At 39.6% G+C, this 26,417-nt stretch overlaps 1 protein-coding gene across 18 annotated transcripts in view, besides 2 other annotated features; it reads right to left on the reverse strand.

Moving 5' to 3' along the window:
* Positions 1-26,417, reverse strand: part of EXOC2 (exocyst complex component 2) — a 207,986-nt gene that overhangs the window by 72,925 nt on the left and 108,644 nt on the right. For all 18 annotated transcript variants that reach the window (NR_073064.2, XM_017011022.2, XM_017011023.2 and 15 more), the window contains 6 exons: positions 18,679-18,804; positions 14,442-14,566; positions 6,786-6,851; positions 6,467-6,624; positions 5,955-6,076; positions 4,706-4,767 (listed from right to left, as the gene is read on the reverse strand). Coding sequence is in view for 17 of the 18 variants with exons in the window: in XM_017011022.2 (XP_016866511.1) it covers positions 4,706-4,767; positions 5,955-6,076; positions 6,467-6,624; positions 6,786-6,851; positions 14,442-14,566; positions 18,679-18,804 (659 nt within the window). In the remaining variant the exon portion in view is untranslated. The remainder of the gene's footprint in view (positions 1-4,705; positions 4,768-5,954; positions 6,077-6,466; positions 6,625-6,785; positions 6,852-14,441; positions 14,567-18,678; positions 18,805-26,417) is intronic.
* Positions 5,643-6,842: an enhancer, noted in NCBI's record as "CDK7 strongly-dependent group 2 enhancer chr6:563721-564920 (GRCh37/hg19 assembly coordinates)". NCBI's record gives its function as "activates an origin of replication core promoter dependent on BRD2, BRD4, P300/CBP, MED14 and CDK7 cofactors, with strong dependence on CDK7, by STARR-seq in HCT116 cells {active_cell/tissue: HCT116}" and the evidence as "EXISTENCE:reporter gene assay evidence [ECO:0000049][PMID:35650434]".
* Positions 24,593-25,792: an enhancer, noted in NCBI's record as "MED14-independent group 3 enhancer chr6:582671-583870 (GRCh37/hg19 assembly coordinates)". NCBI's record gives its function as "activates an origin of replication core promoter dependent on BRD2, BRD4, P300/CBP and CDK7 cofactors, and independent of MED14, by STARR-seq in HCT116 cells {active_cell/tissue: HCT116}" and the evidence as "EXISTENCE:reporter gene assay evidence [ECO:0000049][PMID:35650434]".

The following is a 26,417-nucleotide window of genomic DNA, read 5'->3' on the forward strand; positions in this document are numbered from 1 at the left end:
GACTGAGAACCTCTCTTCAACACATGCATTAATTTTTAAAAGAGTTTGGGAAAAAAACTGAAGAGAAGAAAGGAAGTGACATCTATATACATCTTTTAAAAAGACAAGTTTATTTTCTTATGGAAAGGAACCCAGACTTAATGAAAGCTAAAACAGTGCCTCAGCTTTAATGTCATGTTATTTCTGCACTTTGAAACCACCAGAGGGCATTATAAAGAATACTTAAAAGTGAAAGTACAAAAACAGTAATAAAATAAGAAATAGAGGATGAAATACCAACTGCACAGAAAGCATTTAAAGAGGCAAAATGTTTGTTAGGTTACTGACCTTACTCATCTAACCTACCCACCTCAGAAGGTATGAAAATTTAAGATGTTACAATGATAATTATTACTATAATATTGACAATCGAATCTGAAATTCAACCGTGGGCCATTAAATGTTGATGTTTGGCCAGGTGCGATGGCTCACGCTCGTAATCCCGGCACTTTGGGAGGCTGAGGCGGGTGGATTGCTTGAGGTCAGAAGTTCGAGACCAGCCTGGCCAACATGATGAAACCCCATCTCTACTAAAAATACAAAAAATTAGCTGGGTGTGGTGGTGCGTGCCTGTAGTCCTAGGTACTCAGGAGGCTGAGGCAGGAGAATCACTTGAACCAGGGAGGCAGATGTTGCAGTAAGCCGAGATCATGCCACTGCACTCCAGCCTGGGTGACAGGCGAGACTCCGGCTCAAAAAAATTAAAAATTAAAAAAAAAATAAGTAAATGTTGATGTTCATGTGTGGTTGTTTAGATTTCTTCTATTAAAATTTGGACTCAACTTTCTTATTAATTTTATTTTTATACCCACACTAATATAATAAGTAGAAACAGAATACTAGAAAGTTCAATGAGTGCTTTCAGTTGAACCGGGAGTAGGTGATAGTCTACACATTCACTATTTCTTTTTTCTCAAAAGAAATAGTTCTGTCTCTGTGTATTGTCAGTGAGTCATCCAATTTAGATGACTGTCAAAAGTTATCACAAATCATTCCAGTTCTTCTGAAAGAAGAAAATTCTCAGAATCTCAGAATTATCCAAATTGAAAAGAGGCAGAAACCATTTTCAGCATGAGAAGAAAACAGGATGCTTTCGAGTGAGCTGTTTCTGAGCTCTGAAGCAAAGCTCTAATCAGAGAGAATGCCTCAGCCGAGGGACAGTCATAGTGAGGCAGTGCTTGACCTTGATGTCCTCAATGGGATAAGCAATGGGATTATCCCATTAAGGGATATCTAATGTTTAGAAAAATGGGATTTTCTAAACATTGATTCACGTTTTCTCTTAAGAGGTCCACGCGGAATAGCTAAAAAACTGACTCAGTGTTATCAGGTCTATCGTGGTAGGACACTTCTTCAAGGACCTCTGGCTAGACAATGTCTTGGCTGACTCCAGACGTGCTATTTCCTAGGGCTCATTCATTCGCAAGGTGCACTGGGGGTCAGTTCTTTCGTCCCTGCAGATAGTTATGTGGCTTGTGTGAGAGATCAAACATGAAATCAGTTATTTTATGGTTGCAGTTGCACTACTTAAAGTTTAAAAATAAACTACAAAGAAGCTTCTGAAGTAACTATTTCAGAGCATTTTCACAGAGGCTGATATACTACAATCAGGCAAACGAGGTCTGGAGGCTTCCAGGGAAGCACACACTGGCTGACCACGTGTACCCGAGGCACTGACCTGAAGAAGGACCTGAAGCCAATCCCTGTTTTATGGCTCAGAGTTACTGAATTGATGGCAGATTTTAAGAATGAGGAATAGGACCCTGACAGCAGACTCTGCCTTCTCAAACTGAACATATAATTTTTTTCCATTTGCACATAACTGACTTGAGGCAGGTATGTCTAACCTGCCTGCACCTGCTTCATCTCGGGCAAGTGATTCAGTGGATGGTGGCCCAATGATCCCTTCTGGCCTGTCTTCAGGCTTGCTGTGATCATTAGGATAGGTCTATAGAAAAGAGCTCTGAACACAGTAAACTTCATGTATTATTATCATAGTAGCCCAGTGATCACAAGTATTAATTTAACAAATAAAAATCCTTTATGTTTGTCCAGAGCTTTGCAGTTTACCAGGTGCTTCGGTCCACAGTATCTCATTGTATCCTAACCCACATCACTGTGAAGATGTGTTCTGCTCCCTGTTTACAGACTAAGACTCTAGGGTCAGACAGACTACATGGCTTCTTTAGGACCACATGGAAGATTGAAGTAGGTTCTGATTCCAAATCAAGTGCAATAAGTTTTCCCTTCACACCAGTGCTGTCCGATAGGTGTATAATGTTAGCCACAAACAGAAGCCATGTAAGAAATCTTAGATTTACCGGTAATCACATTTTAAAAAGCTTTTAAAAAATAAACCCATAAAGTCAATTTTCATATAATCTATTTAATGCAGTCTATCCAAATATTATTATTTCCCAGGTAGTGCATGTAAAACGTGGAGATGGTTCACATTCTGCCTTTTGTGCAGGTGGTGCAGGTCCATACCTTTCTCTAAAGATTTAGTGTGAGGGAGAATTAGCTATAGACTAGTCACTATTTAAATACAAATAATTGTGACGAATAGAAACCCAATCGATTAAAATTTTCTTTCTTTTTTTTTTTTTGAGATGAGAGTTTTGCTCTTGTTGCCCAGGCTGGAGTGCAATGGCGCGGTCTCGGCTCACTGCAACCTCTGCCTCCCGGGTTCAAGTGATTCCCCTGTCTCAGCCTCCCAGGTAGCTGGGATTACAGGCATGTACCACCGTGCCTGGCTAATTTTTGTATTTTTAGTAGAGACAGGGTTTCACCATGTTGGTCAGGCTGGTCTCGAACTCCTGACCTCAGGTGATCCGCCCGCCTGAGCCTCTCAAAGTGCTGGGATTACAGGCATGAGCCACAGCACCCGGCCCAATTAAAATATTTTTATTAAAAATAAAGCATTTAAAATAGAATCTTAATTGACTTATTAAAAATAATAAACTTCCCTAACTCATTTCAAGCATGATTTAATTTGCAAAAAAGCATTGCTTTTCTAAATCACCTTGTTATATATAAAGTAAGGTACAATGATATATTAACTTAAGATAGGACCTTGAACTTTGGAGGAATAGAATGAGTCAAAAATTCCCCAGCCCCCAGAAGACAGTCCATGAGAAGTACAGTCTGCCCTTCATGCCCCAGGTTCTGCCTCTGTGAATTCCACCAATGGTGGAACTGGCTGGATAGAGAGTCCAAGGATATAGAAAGCCAACTTTTAGGGGCTTGAGAGTCCTCAGATCTTGGTATATGAAGGGATCTGGAACCAGCCTTCGCTGAGGATACCAAGGCACGACTATATAGAAATTCAAGGGAATTTAAAAATACTGTGCAGGATCATTGTTTCCTGATAGCCTGACTCATCACTGGTTTGTAAATCTGGGCAAGTCAAGACCATTTCATTCTAGTTTCCTTATCTGAGGCAGAAACTGCTAGTTGCCTCCTAGGATTGCTATCTTTTTTTCTTTTTTTGACAGAGTCTCGCTCTGTCACCAGGCTGGAGTACAGTGGCGCGATCTCGGCTCACTGCAATCTCTGCCTCCTGGGTTCAAGTGATTCTCCTGCCTCAGCCTCCTGAGTAGCTAGGATTACAGGCGCCCACCACCATGCCCAGCAAAATTTTGTATTTTTAGTAGAGACGGGGTTTCAGCATGTTGGCCAGGATGGTCTCGCTCTTGACCTCATGATCCGCCCACCTCGGCCTCCAAAAGTGCTGGGATTATAGGCGTGAGCCACCGCACCCAGCCTATCCTTTTTTCTTAATAAGGTAAGACAGAAAACAGGAGCAGCCACGTGCTCTCCCGACCTCTGTTGCCAACAGGGACAGGCATGGAATGTGTTCTGACCAATTAGATGGAGGAGAGTTGCAAGTTATGGCTCCTGGGAGGGGACTGGACTTTCTTCCTGACAGCAGCCAGGCCACGAGTGACCCCGAGGCCAGCCTGAGTAGAAGGCAGTGTGAAGGGTCACAGGGAAGAAGGATGGAGGCAGCCCTGGGCACTGACTGTGTGACCACGCTGCCAGGCTGCTGTGAGAGACAGAAGTCCCCCCCTGGTGAAAGCCACTGGGATGTGTCGGCCGCTGCCTGGCCATCGTCACTGGCACAGCCACCCACAGGACCGCGAGGGGCACCCGTGAGACAAGTGTGAAAACCCGTGAAATCATGAAGATGATTTTTAAACCTAAAAGTCCCAGCTGAAAAGATGAAGATTCTAGAAACAGGTCACAGTTGGCTGCCTGGCCTGAGAATGTATCTGCAGTGGTCTGTGGTGGTTGTTTTTGTTTGTTTGGTTTGTTTTGGCTTTGGAGCCAGCAACGTCATCTCTTCTATCCTGCTTTCCGGAAAAGCTCAAGTTGCTGAGTAATTTAGAATTGAGCATACTCTGTTTTTAAAAAACTAATTCAAACAAAAATCGTAAGTTATACAGGATGAAAAAGGTCAAGTCTAAAAGAAACGCATTGTTCTCATTAATTTTTCAATATTTATGGTTCGTGTTAAGCAAAAATGTCTCTGAGAAGAAAACCTTTAAGAAGCTTCTATTTCTATTTAGAGCTGCAACACATGGAGCACATGCTCCCTATTAATATGATAAACTATTTATTTTAAATACACACTAATGACTAATAATTGAAAAGAACTTAAACTTACTAGAGAAGTCAGTCCTTCATTGTCAACAATCCAGTCTTCTTTTTCAGCTAATCTCTTTATTTCTATATGAGAAGAAGCACACAAATACTTTATTATAATTATCTCACTAAATTTTATACAGATTAAAAATGTATACAGGTTATGGTTTTTCATTGTTTTATATAGGTTTGTAAAAACTCGATGAAAGTAGGCAAAGAATATAATTTTGGTAGACTTGATGATTTAAGTACATATTGTTCACTGGATGATTCTACTAAGATATTAATGTGAATAAAAGTTTTTACTGTATAGCCCAATTTGGGGAATTCTACGTTGGATTTAATGACAACTTGAGACAATCATTTATTACTTATTCAGGATTCTTCACAACACTAGGCATGTACAAAATAAGTCATACAGTATTTTTTTTCCTAAAATTTCTGATGAGTAATTTGGCTGTTTTTTGAATCCTACAGATTCCTGACAAGGGCAATATGATTCTCAGTTGGCTAAGGGAATGCCACCTGCTCAAACCTTCGGCCTTGGGGCAGGCTCAGGTTCCTAGGTGAGGAGGAGGTAATCAACTAAGAGGGGAATATCCAACTTCTCACCTGGGTTCCATTCCCTTCCCATTTACACAGTATCGCCCACCAATTTTGCAGAGATGTAAGCTTCCTACCTAAAAAGCCAAGCCTGGTAGTAGATAGTAAAGGCCTGTGCCATTTTAGCAATGTTCTTATTTTTGAAAATATTTAATAACTAAAAGGCTGCTTTGTAAAGAAAACCTTTATGGTTTTTTTATGATTTTATGTAGAAAAGCCTGAAAAATTTAAAAAGTATAAAGAAAACAAGAATCATCTATAATTTCTGGAATCCAGAGAACCAACACTAACAGAGTTTCCTTTGATTGGACATTGATTTCTGTAAATTAAAATTTAAAAATATACATCCATATATTTTCAAAAGTGAGATCAGACTTTATGTACATTTTATACCCTATGTTTTCTACTTAACATTTATCATAACAATATTCTTATATCTTTAAACATTTTCAAGTGTATCCATCTTAGTTTCTGCATGGTCTTAATTCTCAACAATACATCACAAAAAGAAAAAACACTTATTGAGCAGCTAGAAATAAGATGAACTAATATATTCCAATTTCCAGAAGAGTAATTTTCCCTTGTTTTCAAGGATTTGGACACTGAAAGGAGGTGGCACATTCAGATAATCATTGCACAGTGAACGTCACCGATTTATCAAAACACACCTTCCGCCGTGTGCTGCAACGTGGCCATTACGCAACGTACTCGGAGATCCAAGATGAGATCCTGGATAGTCTGTAACAGGTCATTAGGAATTTCAAGGGCAGTCAACGATTCATGAGTAAGTCTGCGAACAAACACATCCAAACAGAAGTGAGCAGAGTGGGATCGCAAAGCAATCCCTAGCATCTCTTTCACTGTATAATCATTCCTCACGGAGCTTACGAGCTACAGCATTAGGCTGAAAACAGAAACAGACCACAACTGGGACTGTACTGTCAGAGTAATACTGAGTGAAACAACGGAGAAGATGCGTAAACTCAAGAACATTCTAGTCCAACACAAAAACCAGGAACAGTGAGGAGCTTAGCTGTCAGATGATGAACAGGAAACAGTGGAGGCAAAAGGACAAAAAGAAGAAAAAGAAGAATTTCTTCTTCACTGAATGTATTAATTCTTTCCAAAAAGTTAAAAAAAACAGAAGTACGCCTTTCTCTGAGAATGTGTCCATACTCACCTTACAGTCTGGATGGCGTGAGCGAGCCACTGTCCGGAGAGCTCGCACTTCACCTCCCAGCCTCCGTACTGCTTGGCTTCCCCATCCCGGATGCTGAGGGGAAGCAGGGCTCCGCGGGTAAGCTTCACCAGGGAGTGCATTACTTCCTGAATCATTTTCTAGAAAACCAGGAACAAGCATAACCGTGTTCAAATGTGATTAATCGGGTTACATTAACTAAAAGATGCTGCCTGGGCAGTAATGGATGTCTTGAATACAAAGTGAGAAAGGAAAAACCCTACCCTGTGAAAAGGTCTACATACTTATCACCCTTACTCACCTTAAAATCATTTTGTCTTTGCCTTACATTCTTTGATCTTTCAATCTGGCCTGACTTCTCAGCAGTCTTAAAAATTAAAAAAACAAAATAAAACATATTAGAAATAATTTAAAAATAAGAAATGCTTTAGCACTTGTACATCAAGAGAACATTAAATATGGTTATAACTTGATTAAAAGAAATGCTTAAGACATAATCTATGTTTCTGATTAAAGAATGATTCATTAGAAAACCTTTCTTATCCCAATGAGAAGTTATTTATCTTTCTAAAACCTTTACGTACAATTCCCATGAATGAATCCAAGAATTAAGTTGAAACTACCGATTTTACAGGTGAATTTCATCTACCATTTTCACCAACGATGTCGTATGGTTAAACCATCAGGTATCATACCCACGACAACACTGTCAACATCATTTCTCATTAGCTAGTAAAGAAACCAAAGGAAGCCTAAACTCTGAAATCTGTCATTTTAGTTTTAAATACTATAAACTATGGCTCTTCCTTCAGAGATTTCAGTGTAATTTAGGATAAAATACATTCTATCATTCTAGAATTAATTTTTGTTTGTTTACTGATATAACTCATGTTTTTTTCCATTGTCTCTTTCCCCTTAATGTATGGAAAACTACTTTATATTGACTAAAAGAGAAGCCTGTTCAGTTGGATTTCAGAGAACTGTTTATTAACAAATTTTCTAACTAAATATTTTTATATAAAATAACCTAGAAGGACAAGCCCAGGAAGCTTTCTAAATAAAGAAGCATTAACAAAATTATACAATGTAAAATAAAATTCTGACACTTCATTGACATAATGCAAAAGTTAACCTTTAAGGTGAAAATGCTCATGCCTTATCGGTTAACGCATGACAAGTCAAGAGACCTTTCAAGTTAAGAACAGTTGCATTATAAATTATCATGATATTGACTTTAAGTCAGTTTTAAAATACAAGCAATGTTATGCACGTTGTATATATATTTATTTCTGTATAAGCTATAAAAACTGCGTGTAGGGTTAGTTTATATAATGAACATATCAATGTAAGTAAAATATGGGTTAGGATTGTTGGGTGTTTTCAACAGAACTATCAGACAAACCTGACAAAAAAACGGGCAGCACATACACAGACCAACATCCTTCAAACTGTAGTTTCCATTCATTTTTAAATTTTATATTAAACTACGCAGCTTTTATCATTTTTTTCTTTGTAGAAATATGTTTTTGTCTTGAAAGAATTAAAGGTATGTATAAAAACTAAACCTGCAATCCATCTCAATAATCATTCAAAAAGCTAGCTCCTGAGTTCACTGGTCAATGACACTTAAAATTCTTTGTACCCCAGGGTTTAACTCATAGGTTGATTTTTCCTTTATTTTTAAGACAAATGAGAAGGAACTGAAGTGTTTTAAGCAGGTGAGTGCTGTGAGGCCTACATTAAGAAGAAGGAATGAGGGGCCAGTGTGCGAGTATGACCAGCCAGCAGGATGTTGCAGTGGCCCAGGTGAACACAGCCACACTGAGACAGCAGCAGGTGAGCCCAGGTGGCTGAGACAGGCCGCCTGAAGGAGAACCTACTGCCCTGGTGCTGCAGTGAGGAAGGAGGCATGCGCAGAGGGACCCCCACCTAACGCACGCCCGCTCGGCTAACACCAGCGGCTCTGAGTGTCTGTTCAGCTGCTTTCTGTCTGCCCAGTGTGAAGACCAGAATCAGAACGTGGTTGGTGGTATGGGGTATGGGCATCGAGCAAATGAATGCCCTGCTCACTGAGGTGACAAATAGCTCTTTTCTACATGTTGCAGTTTGTTAGGTCTTAGGCTTGGGTACTTTTTTTCTTTGCTGTCTATACCGTCTAGTTTGTTCCCGTGGCTTCAAATATCATTTCTATCTAATGCCTTCCAAAGTCTATCTCCAGCCCAAATATCTCCTCTGTGACCCATATGTGAATATTGAATAACTCCCAGGAATCTCAATCTACCACATTATCAATGGAAATCTGAAGCTTCCTCCAAGCATGCTCTTTCTTAGGTCTTTCTGGCTTGGCATACGGCACTCCTGCTCAGGAGCCCACTGCGAGCAACGTCAGAATTCTTGCTTTCCTCTCCCTCACCTGAACACCACGTCCAAAATACAACCAAACCTACCAACTGCTCTCCAACTCCACTGACGAAACCTTATCCAAACCACCACTGTTTCCTGCCTGGAGGACCTCCATGGTTTCCCCCACATTTGTCCCCACCAATTGATTCTGAACACACCACCAAGGTGGGTTTTTTAAAACTGGAAAGCTGGTCTGTTCCCCGCCCCATGGCCTGGGATGAAGCCACTGCCAGCTGGGCCTGTCCCTCCCAGCCCTCCCACTGCTCAGGACGCTTCTTCCTTTTCTGATAAGCTGAGCTGCCCTCCTGGTGCTGCAGGCGTCCTTCTCGCTGCCTGGGGCCTGCTTCCCCCCATCCTCTGTGTGGTTGTGTCCTTCTCTTGTGCCATGTGTCAGTTTCAATATCACCTCCAGAGAGCGGCCTTCCCTGACCTCCAACCCATTGCTGATATTCTGTCTTACAACCCTATTTGTTTCTTTTATAGCTGTTACCAGAATTTTTAAAATAATAATTTAAAAAAATTATTTGAGTTCTGTCTCTAGAAGAGGAAAGGTCATGCTTACTTTGGTGACTTTTATTTATATTGTAGATATGTATATGTGTAAATTTATGTGTATGTCTACATACTGAGTACATGCATGCATTTATATGCATGTGTTATACATTAATGTTTCATACATGTCTACATACGTGTACATGATGTGTTGTGTGTCTGTTGTGTGTGTGCATGCATACATGTGCATGTGTATATTACGTGTGCATGCATGCATGTGTGTCTCAGTACCTGGGCCCTGGTGAATAAATGATCACCTAGGGTTAGGGTTCTCCAAGATCTTCTTGAATATACTTAAGAAAGTGTAACTGCCCCAAACGCTCTGGGTCCCGACATGAGAGTGGCCCCGGGAGGCAGATCTGCCAGGCGTAACCCTATGATTTACTCCTGAAAAACCTAACATGCCCAATTCTTCTCCCGGAGATGTCAGATGTCAGCAAATGGGATGAGCAGAGGTTGGAGAGCTTTGTGTGACGGTTGGGGGTTAGGAGGACTGCTTTGCTTGTTGAATTCAGACACTGCTGCGGAGCCCAGCACCTACTGGAATGTCAGGAGCTAAATCTTTGTTAAGGACCTTGTGATGGTTAATTTGGTGTCATCTTGGCTGGGCCACAGGGTGCTAGACATTTGGTGAAACATTACTCTAGGTGTGTCTGTGAGGTGTTTCTGGATAGATTAACATGCGCATCAATGCACTGTGCACGGCAGAACCTCTCCGGGATGTGGATGGGCCTCGCTCAATCAGTTGAAGGCCTGAACAGCACAAAAGAGCTGATCCTCCCATGAGTTAGAGGCACTCCTCCTGTCTGACTGCCTTCAAGCTGGGACACTGTGGGCTTTATGTGCCTTCATAGTTGAACCGAAACATGTGCTCTCCTTAGGTCTCGAGCCGGCTGGCATTCAAACTGGAGCTTACAGCATCGGCCATCCAGCTGGGCAATGCATCCTGCAGACCCTTGCGGCTTGTCAGTCTCCATAATGACATGTGCCAACCCCTTAGCATAGATCTCTTCGTGTATGTGTGTGTGTGAGTGCAGGGATAGGCATACACATCCTATTGGTTCTATTGCCCTGGAGCACCCTGATTCGTGGACGCTTGCTTCACCTGCTATGGAGGGAGGCACATGCCAGTATAAAACTGCAAGAGTCTTGACTGTCAAAGGGCATATCCTCTGCTTGTATCCTCCACAGTACCTGATACCAAACTTTGTACATAGTAAGACTGTGCAATGCGAAGATTATTTCATAGTCATTTGTTCTATTACATATTTTTAAATCAAAGAAAAGCGTGAAAATCTGTTGTTAAAAAACATATAAAAATTAAGGCTAAATTTTGCCACAACAATTTTGCCCAACAAATAGGTGTTCATGAGTGCATGAGGAAATGTACTGGACAGTAATTTTGTAAAATTCAAGGATTTGTCTCCAAACACATGAAAAGTAGACGGGGAAGGGAACTAGTTGTGGGGCAGACCGCTTTCAGTTGTTACTTACTGTTTTAATTTAATAGAGCTGAATATCTCCAACACAATGGATTATGTAAAGTTTGCCCTATTTTTAAAAGAAAATCTAATTTTGGAATATGTAAGGCATTTTAATTTATATATTATTGAGTTATGTAACTTTTTAAAATGCTGACTCTTAATATTCATCAATTATTTGGCTGTTTTAAAGATTTTTATCTAAAAATACACTATATTTAAGATATATCTAAAGGTGAGATCTTAACCTACTATTAACCATTTCGTTAACTAGAAACCTTAACTCTTTCCTGCACACGCAGACCAAAACTGCTTTGTGGTGAGAGCAACGGCTGATTTCACTGTTTTGATTCACATTTGTTATTTCACATGGCCTTCACTGGCTTGAAGAACTGACTATTTTTTAAACTGTTGGAAACTTCATCTAAATTTTTAACGGATGGGCTCTTAATACAACAAGATAGTTTTATAACAAGAAAAATAAGAAAATTCAAATAAATTGTGTTTAAAAACTATCATGCTTTCTTGTGTGAGATTAAATAGCTATCAAAAGCCCCAGAACTCTTCCCAGAATTCAATCCAGCTTCTGGGTTTCACTTGCAGACCGGCAAGGGAAGCAAGTGTCCCCAGCTCCTCTGCTCCTTCCTACAGCCCTGCGCTTTCCTCTAGCTCTTCAGAAGAGGGCACACAGTTTCAAAGCATGCCCAAATCTGCAGAGCAAATTACACGTAATTAGTAATTATTGCTATAAGCTTTTAAGTTTATAAACATAGACAGGTAGACACGTCATAGGCATATCCAATTCAGCACAACCAATTAAGAGTCATTTTTTCATTTCACCATTAATGTTGTGCATGAGTTCTGAAGTAGATGATTTATTTTTCATCTACGACCAAATATTTCATTTATATGTTTGGTATGTAATCTGTAAGAAAGCAAAACATACTCCCTTTTCACTAAAATATCCTAGATCAAAAATTCTTAGGAATCTTATGACTCAAAAAGACTCCAGGGAAGGCAACTACTGTCCATGTGTGGTGGGCCACTTGTAGGAACTGATGCAAATGAGGGAAAAACACTTGGCTGGAAACAAACACTACGGCTTAAAATCCATGTCCTAAAAGACTAATTCTTTCTCTTTTTTTTTTTTTTTGAGACGGAGTCTCGCGCTGTCGCCCAGGCTGGAGTGTGGTGGCGCGATCTCGGCTCACTGCAGGCTCCGCCTCCCGGGTTCACGCCATTCTCCTGCCTCAGCCTCCCGAGTAGCTGCAACTACAGGCGCCCGCCACCACGCCTGGCTAATTTTTTGTATTTTTAGTAGAGATGGGGTTTCACCGTGTCAGCCAGGATGATTTCAATCTCCTGACCTCGTGATCCACCCGCCTCGGCCTCCCAAAGTGCTGGGATTATAGGCATGAGCCACCGCGCCTGGCCCTAAAAGAGTAATTCTAATTCTTTAGATGAGTTGATTCAGCTTGACATTATTCAATTCTACTCCAGCAGTTCATCAGTCTACTATTTTCTAATGTTACAAAATTTTGTTCACTGAACACCTACCATGTGCCAGGCCGATGAGATTTCAAACAGTGGAAATACTGGAATAAATTTTACTCCAAATAATAACAGCAAACTCTTACTTATCTGTCAGACATTATTATCAGCACTTCACTCATGCTAACTCATTGAATTCTCAAACCAGTCCTATGGAAGCAGGTGCAGAGAAGTAATTTGCCTAAGGTCACGGCTAGGAAGTGATAGACACTGGATGTTTCTATTATGCTCCTAGTGTTCTGCGTGAAAACCTATGAATGCCATCTGTCCAAAGGCATGACAGGGGAGCATCTAATCTTTCCTGCCCACACGAACAATTTGGTTTAGGGACAGAGCAGACACAGAGAGGAAGCTGGTGCCTGCGGTGCCACTACTGTCACTGTGCAGAGGGCAAGGGGGACCCAAGGCTTGACCTCAGCATGGTGAGCCCCACAGCTCACCCAGCTGAGATCACAGAGACACAAACTGATGGTGACACACAGAAGCAGAGTACTGGAAAGACTTATCAGGACAAAACTGAAATTATTCACTTCCTAAGCCAGCAATAAGCAACTCTCATTATGTAGACCTGCGAAACCTGACGTTCGTTTCATGGAAGAACTTCCTCTGTATAGTCAACTTTTCAATAGAGTTCATACATAACTAACAAAGAAAAGAAAGTTGTGTATTGCTTTAATATTTGAATGTTCACTTATAAAGTAACTGATAACTGAAACTAAAGAAAAAATGCATTGATAAGTTGTGCTTACACGATTGGTTTTTCTGCACTAAGGAGTTTGTGTTCATGCATTACACATTTCTGTTTTTATGCACATAGTAAATTTTATAGGTTAGAAAACCAACCATTCACATAAACAAGGCTGCAGGAATCCAGCGGGTTTACAACGGAGATACTAGGCACTTGGAGTTCAAATATACAAAGAAAAAAGTTCCAGAGCACATCTCTATTTCCTTAATATCAGCATGAATTTATGGTCATGGCCAAATGAGACTCCAAAGACACCTGAGGTACTCTGACACTTAGCCACTTTCCGCCAAGGAGGAGAGGTTTAAACCACAAAGGCTGTGCCTTTGTGCAAAAAACCAAAAATGGTTTTAGCCTTTGCCCATGTCCATTTTGTGTGTTGCCAAGTCAAAAAGAAGCAGAAAGTAGCCTTTACTCTCAGAAGACCCCTATCTCCCCCAGAGCTCTTGGTGTAGAGTCGGTCTCCTGCAGAGACACGAAACACCTGTCTTCTCAGTCTCCCACGGGGGTGCCCTTGGCAGCCTAGGACAAAGGGCGTTAGAATCTATGTCCAGGAGCCGGAGGCCTTTCATGGCGCACTTGAGGTGAGGTTAGAAAGTGACTGACTTCCATGTGCCACACATAACAGAGTCATTCCTTTATGTTCATGCCTTCTATGCTATCAGTCATATGATGATGAAGATACTAAAGCATTAATAAATGTGTGACTGCAGAAGGTGGACGGGCTCATAAAAACTTCTGTAAGCTGATAACAATGGGGCTAGACTGCAGAATGTTTACATCCTTTCCAAGGGAAATTGCATACTCTATGGATGACTTTGTTCCGGGTGCCGGCTGCCAAGGTGCTATCCTTGTTTCCTCATTTGTTCACAGTCTACCGCACATCACCCAGAATTTGGCCTGACTGGCAATATCTCAATTCGGAGTCCCTGAAAAGAGTTCGAGCTTTCTTTTTTCTTTAATTGCCTATCTCATTTAATCCCTACAACCACCTTTTGAGACAGGTGCCCAGACTATTCTTTTTGTACATGAGGAAAAGTGACTTGTTCGAGGTCACACAGCTACTAAGTGAGAGGGCTTTATAATGCTTTAACTGATTTTAAACTATGACGATGGCTAGAGATGTTGGGCCTCTACATTTTAAAAAATCACTTAAATCTAACATTTTAAAGACCAGAAATGCACGGTGACTCAGCTCCACCTCTAGCCGAGTCCGTATACACACCTCACTGAAGAGGCTTCCATTAACGTAGGAGATCCAGAGTTTCCAGAAGTTAGGCAGCTGGCTCAAGACGAGTTTTGTCAATTTTTCAACAAAGGCCACCCTGTGGGGAGTTTTGTATCTCCACGCTAAGGGGGAAAAGAATAAAATACTATGATTGTACTTCTGAATCAAGAAAACACCTTTGAGCATATTGGCGCACCCCCCTCCACTCCCGCAAAACTCCAACATGCACTAGGAATAGCCTGAGTCTGCGTGGACGCTCGCGGCCCACCTGGCTGACACCGGCAGCGGTACGCTCGTCACCAGACACCCCCGCATTTCTCCTTGCCCTCTGGCAAGGAAGAGCCCCTCTCCCTCATGGCTGACCAGCAAGCCAGGGCAAGGGACCAGGTGGCCACAGCCTCAGTACTGGGAGGGCTACCGAGAGGAGGTGGCTTTGACTTATCAGCCTTGTCCTCTGGATAGTAAACGTCTCTTCAAAAAGTCCCGCCTTCTAACAGCAAAGGCAGGGGCTGCTGTGCAGCCAGTTGTGAAATTGCAGCTGATCAGCCTGTGAGAAATGCCATCATACACCCTGGGAAGTGAGAATGCAGGAAGGAATCCAGTTATCACAAGGAAACATTCTAGTGCAATCACATACTAAATAACCCCACCTAAAATAAAGAAATTTAAGAAAAACTAGAAACGTTGAAACCTCTTTGGCTATACATCATTTAACATAGCTATTGCTGTAACTGGGAAATAAGGGCTTAGACTTCTTGTGGGAAGAACAGGTTCATGGGAATAAAGCAAGTGTAGAAATTCAGGACCCACTCACCATGTCCTCTGTCTCCCTTCTTTCTTTTCACTCCCAGGGCCATGCCTTCGCCCTGCTGCCTCCCACCTGCCTCCCGCCCCGCACTCCACTCGGTGGCCATGGCAGGGGCACTGCAGAGTCCACCCCGTCCAGTCCTCAGCACAATGACGCCGCGGATCAGGCTCTAACTCCTACTCAGCAACTTCAGGGGCAGGTGGACTCCCATGAGAACGTTTATTCCCTGGGCCAGGCTAATTGCTAGCTTCCTTTCCAAATACCCCCAAGCAAAAGGATTTGCTGTTGTTAGTCCAGTGAAGGAAGGGCAAATTTTATAAACTGTATTAATAAAATTTCTTAATTTTATTAAGAAATTTTATTAATAAAATTGTATTAATAATTTATTAATGATTTAATAATTTAAATAGTTATTTGATCAGGTAATACATGGTTAGAAAATGACACCTGAAAGGTACACAGTGAAAAGTCTACCTCCTGCCCCTCCACTCCCAAGTGCCTAGTTCCCAGCCGGAAGAAACCACTGTCACTAGTTATTGTGACTCTTTCTGAAATATTTTTTATATACACAAGCAAGTATAAATGTGTTTTTCTCCCTCCCAACTGTTCTTTACACGTTTTTGGTTTTTACACAAACGAAAGGCCAAACACACTCTTTTGAAGCTTGGCTTCTTCCATTTAGCGATGGATCCTGGAGTTCTTCTGTATTCAAACGTAAGGCAAAGGCTTCCTCTTTTTCTCCCCACAGTTATACTGCCTTTCACATTTTTGACGTATCGTAATTTAACAAGTTCCCTTCCAATGGACAAGACTGTCTTCGGTCTTTTGCAATTAAAATGAATGTTTCAGCCAGTAACTGTATACCTATATCATTTAGCACATGCTCAAGTGAAAGCATAGAAAACGTCCAGAACAAGAATTGCTGGGACAAAGAGCACCTGTGGTTGTAATTTTGATAGATATTATTGAACTGCCCTCTAAAGGAAGTATGCCCTCATACTTCCACCGGTGACACGTGCAAGTAGTGGCCTCATCAATGAACAAACAAACATAGAAAACCCAAAACAAAACGATAAACACTCAGAGTTTTTGCCAACCTCGTATCTCATTGTAGTGTTATGCGACCTTTCTTCTTACTATTGTGGGGTTGAGTGTCTACTCACACGTGTAAGAACCACTGACACGTCCTCTGTGTAGGCTATAGAGCCTCTTTATTTATTAGGTATATTAGCCCTTTGTCTATGCTAGGAGTTGCAGGAAAAAGTTTTAAACTCATTTTCACAGGTGTGAAAGGAACGGTTCTTTACTTAAGGGCACACTGTAAACTTTTATTTTTCATTCAGCTAATATTTATTGAGGATTAACCGTGTGCTTATCATGTGGCTCCACCCAAGATCAAAACTCACTCTGAATGCTGAACAAGGCAGGCTCTGCCTTCACAGCTTAGAATCTAACAGAACAGTCAATTAACCAATTGAATACACCATGATGGTAATCTGAGGTGAGTGGGTTTCATCTGGAGACAGCAGTTACAGACTCCTCTCCCCAACAGTAGTTGGTAATGCCTGTTTTCCAGATGGCAGGTGGCGTGCCACAGGGCGAGGCCATGGCCAGCTGCGTCAAGGGTCCAATGACAAGGTGAAAAACAGGACAAGAAAATCTAAAAATGGAAGCACTGAAAGATTTGCCTTTGATCGATTTGGATGTTTTGTCCCCACCAAATCTCATGTTGAAATGTGATCCCCAATGTTGCAGGAGGGCCATGGGGGCGGGCCCCTCGTGAATGGCTTGGTGTCCTTGCAATAATGAGTGAGTTCTTGCTCTATGAGTTCACACAAGATCTAGTTGTTTCACCCATTGCCCGTGTGCCCCGAGAACACTCTTGTCTCTAATCCTAATGGAACACCATTTACATTTCTATTACATTAGGATTAGAGACGAGTTGTTTAGAAATAATTCCAAGAACAGTTCTTATATTTTGTTTTCACACTGAAAATCAGTGATATTTGCTTCAGCCTCAAAGAACATGTTTATGTAAATTAAGTGAGCACCAGCAGTGAGCTGCACCTTTTTTCCCTAAATGGGAAATGGGTTAAAAGAGCCTGGCATCTCCATCCTCTCCCTCACTCCCTCTCCATCCTCTCCCTCGCTCCCTCTCCATCCTCTCCCTCGCTCCCTCTCCATCCTCTCCCTCGCTCCATCTCCTGCCATGCGACATGCTGGCTCCCCTTTTGCCTTCTGCCATGACTGGAAGCTTCCTGAGGCCTCCCAGTAGCAGATGCCGGCGCAATGCTTCCTGTACAGCCTGCAGAACTGTGAGCCAATAAACCTCTTTTCTTTATAAACTACCCAGCCTCAGTGTTCCTTTATAGCAACACAAACAGACTAACACAGCTTAATATGGCAGCAAATGGATTCTTACATGGTATCTTTCCCAAGAATAATGTTTCAAAAGATCTCAGCTCCTCTGTGCAATTACATTGAACATTATATAATGTTAGCTGCTGTCCCACAGAATGTAGGAGCAAACGGTTCTGATCTAACATTGTTTGTTCTAATGTTTGGTGAGCTGGGAGAGGAATGAGAATCGGACAAGAAGAAGGAATACCAACAGTTATGGAAGCCTTTCATTTAGTACAAATGAATCATCTAATTTTAAGGTGCTCTTATGATGAACATTCATTTATATTAATAAAACCTTCGAAAAATTCCCTACTGCAATGCTTGTTAAGAATAATATAAGACATTTTAAAACAACTGTACAGGTATCTGAATTTAATACAATGTAAGGTATTTCTATTAGTCTATTTGGGTTTCTTATATCTGTTATTGAGATCACAAATGGCTCCTGACTAGTGGCATCTAATTTGGTGCAAGAATGCCTGATAGTCGATCATGTTGTATCTCAAATAGGAAAATGGTAAATATCCACTCCAGAAAGTTCAGAAATGCAACATACTTAAAATTTTAGATGCTTCATCTTAGGAAAAATTATTAGCAAGTATTTTATGGTTAATTAACAGCCAATCCCTCTTTCCAGACCAAAGTTTAAATTTCATCAAAAAAGGTATACTGATACTACTTTTATCGCAAATTCCATCTTAATGAAGTTCTCACAGAATTTTTTTCTGTGGCACTTTAAAAAAATTCAACCACAGAAAAAGTAAAACTAGACTTGAACTAAATATGTTTAATAAGCACTGACCTGCACCCAATGACTTAAAAATCAAATAGCATTCCTTTAAATGTAATATATATTTTAATTATTAAATTACTGGTAGTTACTGTAACAAGCAAAAGCGATGATGGCTGATAATACTTAGCACCAGTATCAACACAAATTGGGGAATTTTCCAAGAGAAGAATGTTTGAAATTACACGAGTACAAATTTAAAAGACCCAGTGGCAGTGGAGGGAGATACTTACTGTCGTCTCGACCAGACTGAAAGCTGCTGCCCCTCTTCAGGGACGCTGTCTGACTGAGATGGCCCAACACTGAGGGACGTGTATCATTATCAAGATCCAACATGGGACTGTGCAGGCCTGGGTTACCTGGGGAAGAAAGGAGAGATATACAGAGTATATAGCATGCTCTATATACTCTTGCTTAGTTGATTTAATGGTCTGCTTCTCTGAGGCTATTTCTTGCTCAATTGCTCCACTCTTAAATAAGGCATTTATTAAATAAAATAAAAAGTATTTTCTCTAAACAGATTTTAAAAGTCATTCTCAGTTCAGCAAAATTGGGTGGTGGTGGGAGGATAATGCTATAAACACAAAAAGTAGCAGGAAAAATCACATTTTGCAAAACAACTTTTGGCACTAGGAAAGATAATGGAGTTCAGAATCTTCTGTTTCTTTAAATGTAGCTGACTTACACATTTTTGTAGCATAAATCTCCTCTGACTTCTCCCTTAATGCCACACTTTACACTTAAATCCCCAAATCCCACCATTTGTTTCTTGGACACATGGGATTTCACTCCCTATGGCGTTTCTTGATGCCAGTCATCTAGTGTGGATCCTTTTCACCTCACACTTCATATGCCAGAAGCCAGAACATTCTACTACCATCAAGAAATTGTCTTTATTGTCTCACACTCAAATACTGCTTTTTTGATTCTCATCTGAGAAGTCTTCCAGAAAACCGGCAGGATAAAGTCTACCCCGATGTTTTCCAATCCAAATTATGCTGAGAATTAGGAAACAATTTTTCTAAAATGGATCACAAAAGCCTTTAGGAATAGAATTCCATGTTGCCAAGCATGTTAGTAAGGACATTGGCTTGAAGAGGTAAAATTTACCTTGTTAGTCTAAAACACCACTCTTTAGCTGAGTATTCAAAGAGCTTCAAAATAAACTGAATTCAAAGTGCATTTACAGAGTATTTACAGTACTGTGCATAGGACACTTGAATATTCTCCCTACAAAAATACACCTTACATTTTGCTGCCTTATTTGCTATCCTCTCTACTGGAAAGGCCTCACTCAGTTTTTCTTCTTCATCCATTTAAACCCACATCCTGAAAGATGCCACTTGAAATACAGCTATTACACAAGGTCACCTCTTCCTCTTATCTACCTAAAGTGCTACCTATCTTTTCTGCCCTCTGACAGCAGTGAGAATGTATATAATTTATGTATATAATTTAATCGACTTCACATTCTAGAGTCTGTAGTTCATTAACAGCTAGGTATTGCCTATCTCCACCAAAGACTGCTGTTTTCTCAGGGATAAGAAGTAAATATATCTCCATGTTCCCCACAGTCATTGGACCTTCCACAAATAACTCCCACCACATGTAGTAAGTGACTGACACTAAAAAATATATTTTTTACTTTATAACTTAATAGAATATTAAAAGCCTATGGAGTTGTTTTCAGGTGCTAATATAAAACATATTTCCAAATTAAAGTAACATTTTGGTGTCTCTGATAATGCAAACTATTCAATAACATTTAACAGGTATTTATTGAGCTCCCTCCCGCATGTGAGGAATTGCAGGCCCGGGGGATAAAGTGATGAATAATATCTAAGGCCCTGCTCTCAAGATGTTTACATTCTGGTGGTGGAGGCAGAAAATAAACCAATAGATAAATAAACAACAAAACTATAGCAAAAAAACGCTAAGCAGAGGAGGTAAATAGTGATTGTGTGGTAAGAAAAGGCTTGATCTGACTGAGGCCCTCCTACCGTGTGCCCCTGGACGTGACACACTATCATCTCTCTCTCCAGATCCCCACAAATTCTAGCTGGTAGGTCTTAGATAAATAGAAAATAAATCATTTGAACAGATTTTTTAGTGCAACAGAAGTTTTTTTGAAGACTTACTATGTTTTGGCCACTGTGCTAAATAAATGCTGTGCATACATTTGTATTTTTGAAAATATTAAAGCTAAGATAAGAAGACTTATAAAATCCACTGTGTTACCAAAAAAATGTGACAGAGAAAAAAAATACAGTGAAGAAAGTATTTTTTTCTAATTGACTTTTTTTCATATAAAAATGTTTGTGTGGATGTTCTAGTGATTTATGACATTTTCCTTTGAAGTTTATACAGTTGTCACTTCTATCAATTGTGGAATTCAGGAAATGAATATCAAAATATGAATTTTCTAACATACTTTAAAGAGAAAAATAAAGGGGCCCAAACTTAGCGTCACATTAAAAATACATATAAAAACTTCTAATTTATATTAAAATGTACATTTTTAAAGTATAAAAAAGAATGCTTTAAACTGTTACATTTCACTTACTCTTGAAGGTTTTTAGGACTATGAATTTATGATTAAGAAGGAAAACACTTCCTAGTTTCCTGAAAATACGCATATACCATTCCTGCAAAAATACAATTATTTCAGAAAAAGTTTTCTCCTTATAACTGGTATTTTTATAACTTTAAATTGTTTAATATTAAACCATTTGTATAGTTTAAGTACATCCTGAGTTTTGTAATGGTTAAAAGATTGATTTTTTTTCCTTTAATAACAGAAACTGTATTACTATGCTTTTGTTCTATTAGAAACCACATCATCAGTTTTCTATATCAGGAAAACAAAGGTAACCGTGAACAAATTTTCCAATTGGTACCCTGGCATTACCAGAAGTATAACACAGCAGCAGGGAGCTAGAAGAGCACATGCCCCTCCGGACTATCAGCATCTGGAATACATTCGGAAGATGTATTTTTGCTGAGTGTCCAGAAGGTAGCGCTTCACAGCTGCACACAAATGCATAATGTGCCCTGTCAACTAAACAGTGGGTACTAGCTTAGAAATGTATTTCTCTCCCTAACACTCGTACTTTTCTTACTGTCAAAAAATAATCTCAGAATGAGTTATTTTATAGAGAATTAGAAAGCTTATGTTTTGAAGAGAAAAGCAACACAAACTTTTTAAATACCAGTTGTCACAAATTATGTATGACCAAGTGTCAAAAAAAAAACAAACAACTTGATAATTCTGACACTCCTTTTAAATTACATAACTTACTATTTCTGACTCACAAAATTATTACAAATATGAACTGGTTTCATGAGTAAGCATTTCTATAAAAAAAAGAAAAAAACAGTTTCCATAAAATATAAAATCAGCAAAAGTCTTTAAATATTTCACATATCAGTCTATTTTGTTTCATCTTACAATATGACAGCAATATCTCATTTAAAAAACTATACACATTACATAAAGCATATGGTGGCCGGGTGCAGTTTTTTTTGTTTTTTTTTTTGAGATGAAGTGTCACTCTGTTGCCCAAGCTGGAGCCCAGTGGCACAATCTTGGCTCACTGCAACCTCCAACTCCTGGGTTCAAGCGATTCTCTTGCCTCAGCCTCTCAAGTAGCTGAGACTACAGGCATGCACCACCATGCCCAGCTAATTTTTGTATTTTTAGTAGAGACAGGGTTTCACTATGTTGGCCAGGCTGGTCTTGAACTCCTGACCTTGTGATCTGCCTGCGTCAGCCTCCCCAGGTGCTGGGATTACAGGAGTGAGCCACCGTGTCCAGCCCTGGGTGCAGTTTTTAACATCCCGTAACAACATAAAATTGTGTTTGACTCTGCCCTTTTCAAACTAATGCTGCATTGATAGGAGTTTTCAGAGGTTACTTGTTCTCTTGGCAGTAAATTTTCTATAGAAATTAACTGTTCCTAGAATTTGTTTTCTGGATGAAAATTTTTAAAAAGCCTTTTTTTTAAAGCAGGAAATGATTACCTTGGGCCCTGATGAAAAGGTTATAACTATGTTTTCATTTGGGCCAATACTACCAAATTGTTCCCTAAGTTTGAAATTGAGGCAGGGACTAATTTTATGAAGAATTTCCATGGCCATGCAGTTGGTATCAGGTTCTGTGGCAGCTCACCGAGGCACTAACCTATCCTGTAAAATATACCTGTAAAGATTAGGGCTTTATACTATGCAATTCTAAAAGTCTTTTTAGCTATAAAATTCTGACTCTATGATTCAAAGTTTAAATCAGAAACCTTAAATCACCACTGAGAACAACACAGAAAAGACATTTATTCCGATCACTGTTCGTACAGTTTTGGACACTGATCAGTGGTGGTGTCGTTTTAAATGTATAAAAAGTTTGCCTCTACACATGGAGCAAATGTGAAAATTATGTCTTAAAATGGAAATTACATCACAAAAATACTAAAAGCAATAAAAAAGTAACAGTGTGGCCGGGCGCGGTGGCTCATGCCTGTAATCCCAGCACTTTGGGAGGCCGAGGTGGGTGGATCATTTGAGGTCAGGAGTTCGAGACCGGCCTGACCAACATGGTGAAACCCCCATCTCCACTAAAAATACAAAAAAATTAGCCAGCGCGGTGGCACATGCCTGTAGTCCCAGCTACTCGAGAGGCTGAGGCAGGAGAACTGCTTGTACCTGGGAGACAGAGATTGCAGAATGCCAAGATCACATCACCGCACTCCAGTCTGGGAGACAGAGCGAGACTCTGTCTCAAAAAAAAAAAAAAAAAGTAACAGTGAAAACTGTATCAGAATTTTATAATATTTGTTATGGACTTCAGCCTGGCTATCTTAAAGATAGTAAGCACAGTAATAAACATACTCAAATGAGTGAGTGCTTGTAAGATCAAAAACATTTGGTTGTAATCTCTCAACATTACCTGAGGAATAACTACAGATTACTCTGAATACAAAATTGCGAACAGGCACATCACCCTATAGTGTGGGAAATCATCACCGTAGTATTTCTAATTGCAAAATTCTATGTGATATTTGCAGGAAAAATGATACAAAACAAAATTCTGGAAATAAATATTCTTAGGATCTAGCTATATCTTTTAACTTCCCCACATTAGTATTTGAGTTATTATTTTGTCAATATGTCAAAGAAAACATACATATGTTATCACAAATGCCTGGAATTAGTATCTTGGAAGGAAAAAAAAATCCTTTAACCACTTAACATTAAAAAAAAGACACAACTGTTTTTAACTACTGGAAGTCAAAAGTTAGTATTTTATTTTTCCAGTTAAATACTGCTTCTATAACATATGCTTGCAATATCCTCAAAATTCCTTTTCTAATTTTAAGTATGCAGATACATTTAACAAATTATAAACAAACATAAAATTAGAAAAAAATACCTCTAGACATTTTAACAAGAGAAAAACAGTTGGAAAATTTGTTTTCAGGAGTTGCAGAAATAATTTTCTTCAGAAAACTAATGAAACAATCCTAGTCACTTCACTAGAAGTGTAGAAATAATCAAAAATTTAAAATTTATCATTTTTCTAAAAGAAAGTAAACAATCTTTGACAATCGAGACTCTATAGAAAATGCTTATTATACCTAGAATTCTGTAGGACTTCCAGGAAACCATATCAGTCAAATCCTTTCCACTCAAAGCTGTGCAAGTCTTTCTGATTTTCAATAGTCGGTATTTTTTTTTTTAACAGACTCTATACCACAAAAAGGGCAGAAGAGACCCTTCTTAAGGGAAGCCTGCAGACACGGAGCCAGGTGAGTAAGGTTACTGTATTTTCTCATCCTTCATGCCTACTACAGCAAGTTTTCTCACAGTCTACAATAGTGTAGGGAACACTGATCTGCAGCCTCAGACTCTCAGAAGGGTGGCCGACTTCCTCATGGCCCTTAAACACCTTTGAACACATTTTCCTGCGCACAGCGGGCCGTTGTCCTGCACAGCAGCCCGACCACCCACTGTTGCTTGCTGACCAAACACGGGCCGGGAGCCTCCGCAGACGCAGGCAGGATGGGATTCCTTTCAAGCGCACCACACACAAGAATTTCAATGCCAAAGCTGGGGGTGGGGGTGGGGGTGCGGTGGGCGTATCAAGGCAGAGTTACAAATTCCTCAGGAATTAGACCTGTGTCAACAGATAAAAATGCTTTTTGATCTTCTGATTATACATGTATACATATACATATATATGTATATATATATAACATTTTTAAAGTCCTGACAGGGGCATTTCCTTAATTTAAAGAGAATCACTTAATCCAAATTAAACAAAGGGAGGCACAGTTAAGAAGCCCCTGTTAACTCACTCACTCAGGACTGTCCTTCACAAGCTCCAGGCAGCATTTCGGACGTGCATTTCAGTATCATTCAAAGCAAGAGTTCACCAAAGGAAATGTAAATTAAAAGCAAAACTACAGGTATAAACTTTGAAGAAGCATTTATTAGCTACCATTGGCCAGTTATGTGAGAATCATATATTTGTAATAAGTAAGCTGGAGAAGTGAATGACCAAAATGAAATGTATGTTTTTGTCAAAGTCCTATGTCTTTTAGCAGTTTCATATAGATTTACATGCAGAAAAATGCTTAGAACATATAAAGGAATTACAAAAATAACAGAATACAGAACAAAAGTACTTACAATTATCAGTATTTTTAATTACCAAGTAAAGTTAGCATTCAATGTGTGTTTGACATTCATCATCAAAATTTTTTTTCTATGAAGGATGGGGACAAGTTTAGACATGAAATGACTTCCGGCTGCCAGAAGTCTTCTTCCAGATGCACAGTAAGCCAGGGCAGTGGAAAAGAACCAGCTGCTACAATCACAAATTGACAAGGTCCTTTTCACATAGCCTTTTTGGCCTGTGTGATCTAAAAAAGATTATTCATTGTAAGGTGAATAGAATCTATTACAAAACAGGAGACACAAAAAAAAGAGACCTTAATCCAACTTTTTCTTGTGATATTCAACAGCTGTTACTTTACTACATGGGGATCTACAAATGAGTGCTATGCTATTCCAAAAGAAATCAAATTCTCAAGTCCCAGGTTACTGACTTCTTCCACTTCCCTCTCCTGAATCTACTTTCTCACTGTGTGCACATACGCTGCATACATAGCGCAGCTTATACATCTTAAAGCAGGTAAATAAAACCCCACTAAGCATTTCATCTTCCAAAGACAATTTTGAAAAACTCTGTCATCACAGCATGCAAACGAACAAGTGCACAGCAGAAGCCTTCCCTGGAGGTCCGCCCACTGGCAGCCGTACACAGGTCACAAAGGCACCACCCCAGTGCTGAGCTGCAGGGAGGGCAAGATGGAAAGAAACTAGCATCTCATATCTGTGCTCGCTGCAGTTGTGCCTTTCCTTTTTTTAAACCAACCTCTCTCAACCTGGGTTCAGGCTGTGATCAATATTCAGGAGAGAAACAATTTTTTAAATCTCTAGAAAATTAACTCCATAAAAAAAGAAGCTTCCTAATGTGCAACCTTATTATGATAACTTTAAAATTAAAATGATAATTTTATTAAAAGATTTAGCACATATACAACAATACACTTACACTGACTTTTTAACTATGAAATTATTTGCGTGGTTCCACAGAAAATTCAATGAATCTGCTAATGGTTTCCTAATGGGGGCTGTAATTTAATCTCGCATACAGGAAGTCTACCTGACCCTGCATTATGGTAATACCAGAATTATATGTAATATTAACCCCAATAATATTTGTAAAAATGATATAAAATATGTACGTAAAGGTCCTAGCTGTATTTTTTAAAATAGCAAGATATAACAGTTTATACTATGTAAATTCAAAATCATAAATTGTAATACTATGATTTATGCATGTATGTTATGAGCTTGTACTGAAAATATGGACTTTGTGTATCTTAAGGTTCTTGGAGTAACATAAATGTTTTTA

Source organism: Homo sapiens, chromosome 6 (assembly GCF_000001405.40).
Source record: "Homo sapiens chromosome 6, GRCh38.p14 Primary Assembly".
Taxonomy (NCBI): Eukaryota; Metazoa; Chordata; class Mammalia; order Primates; family Hominidae; genus Homo; species Homo sapiens.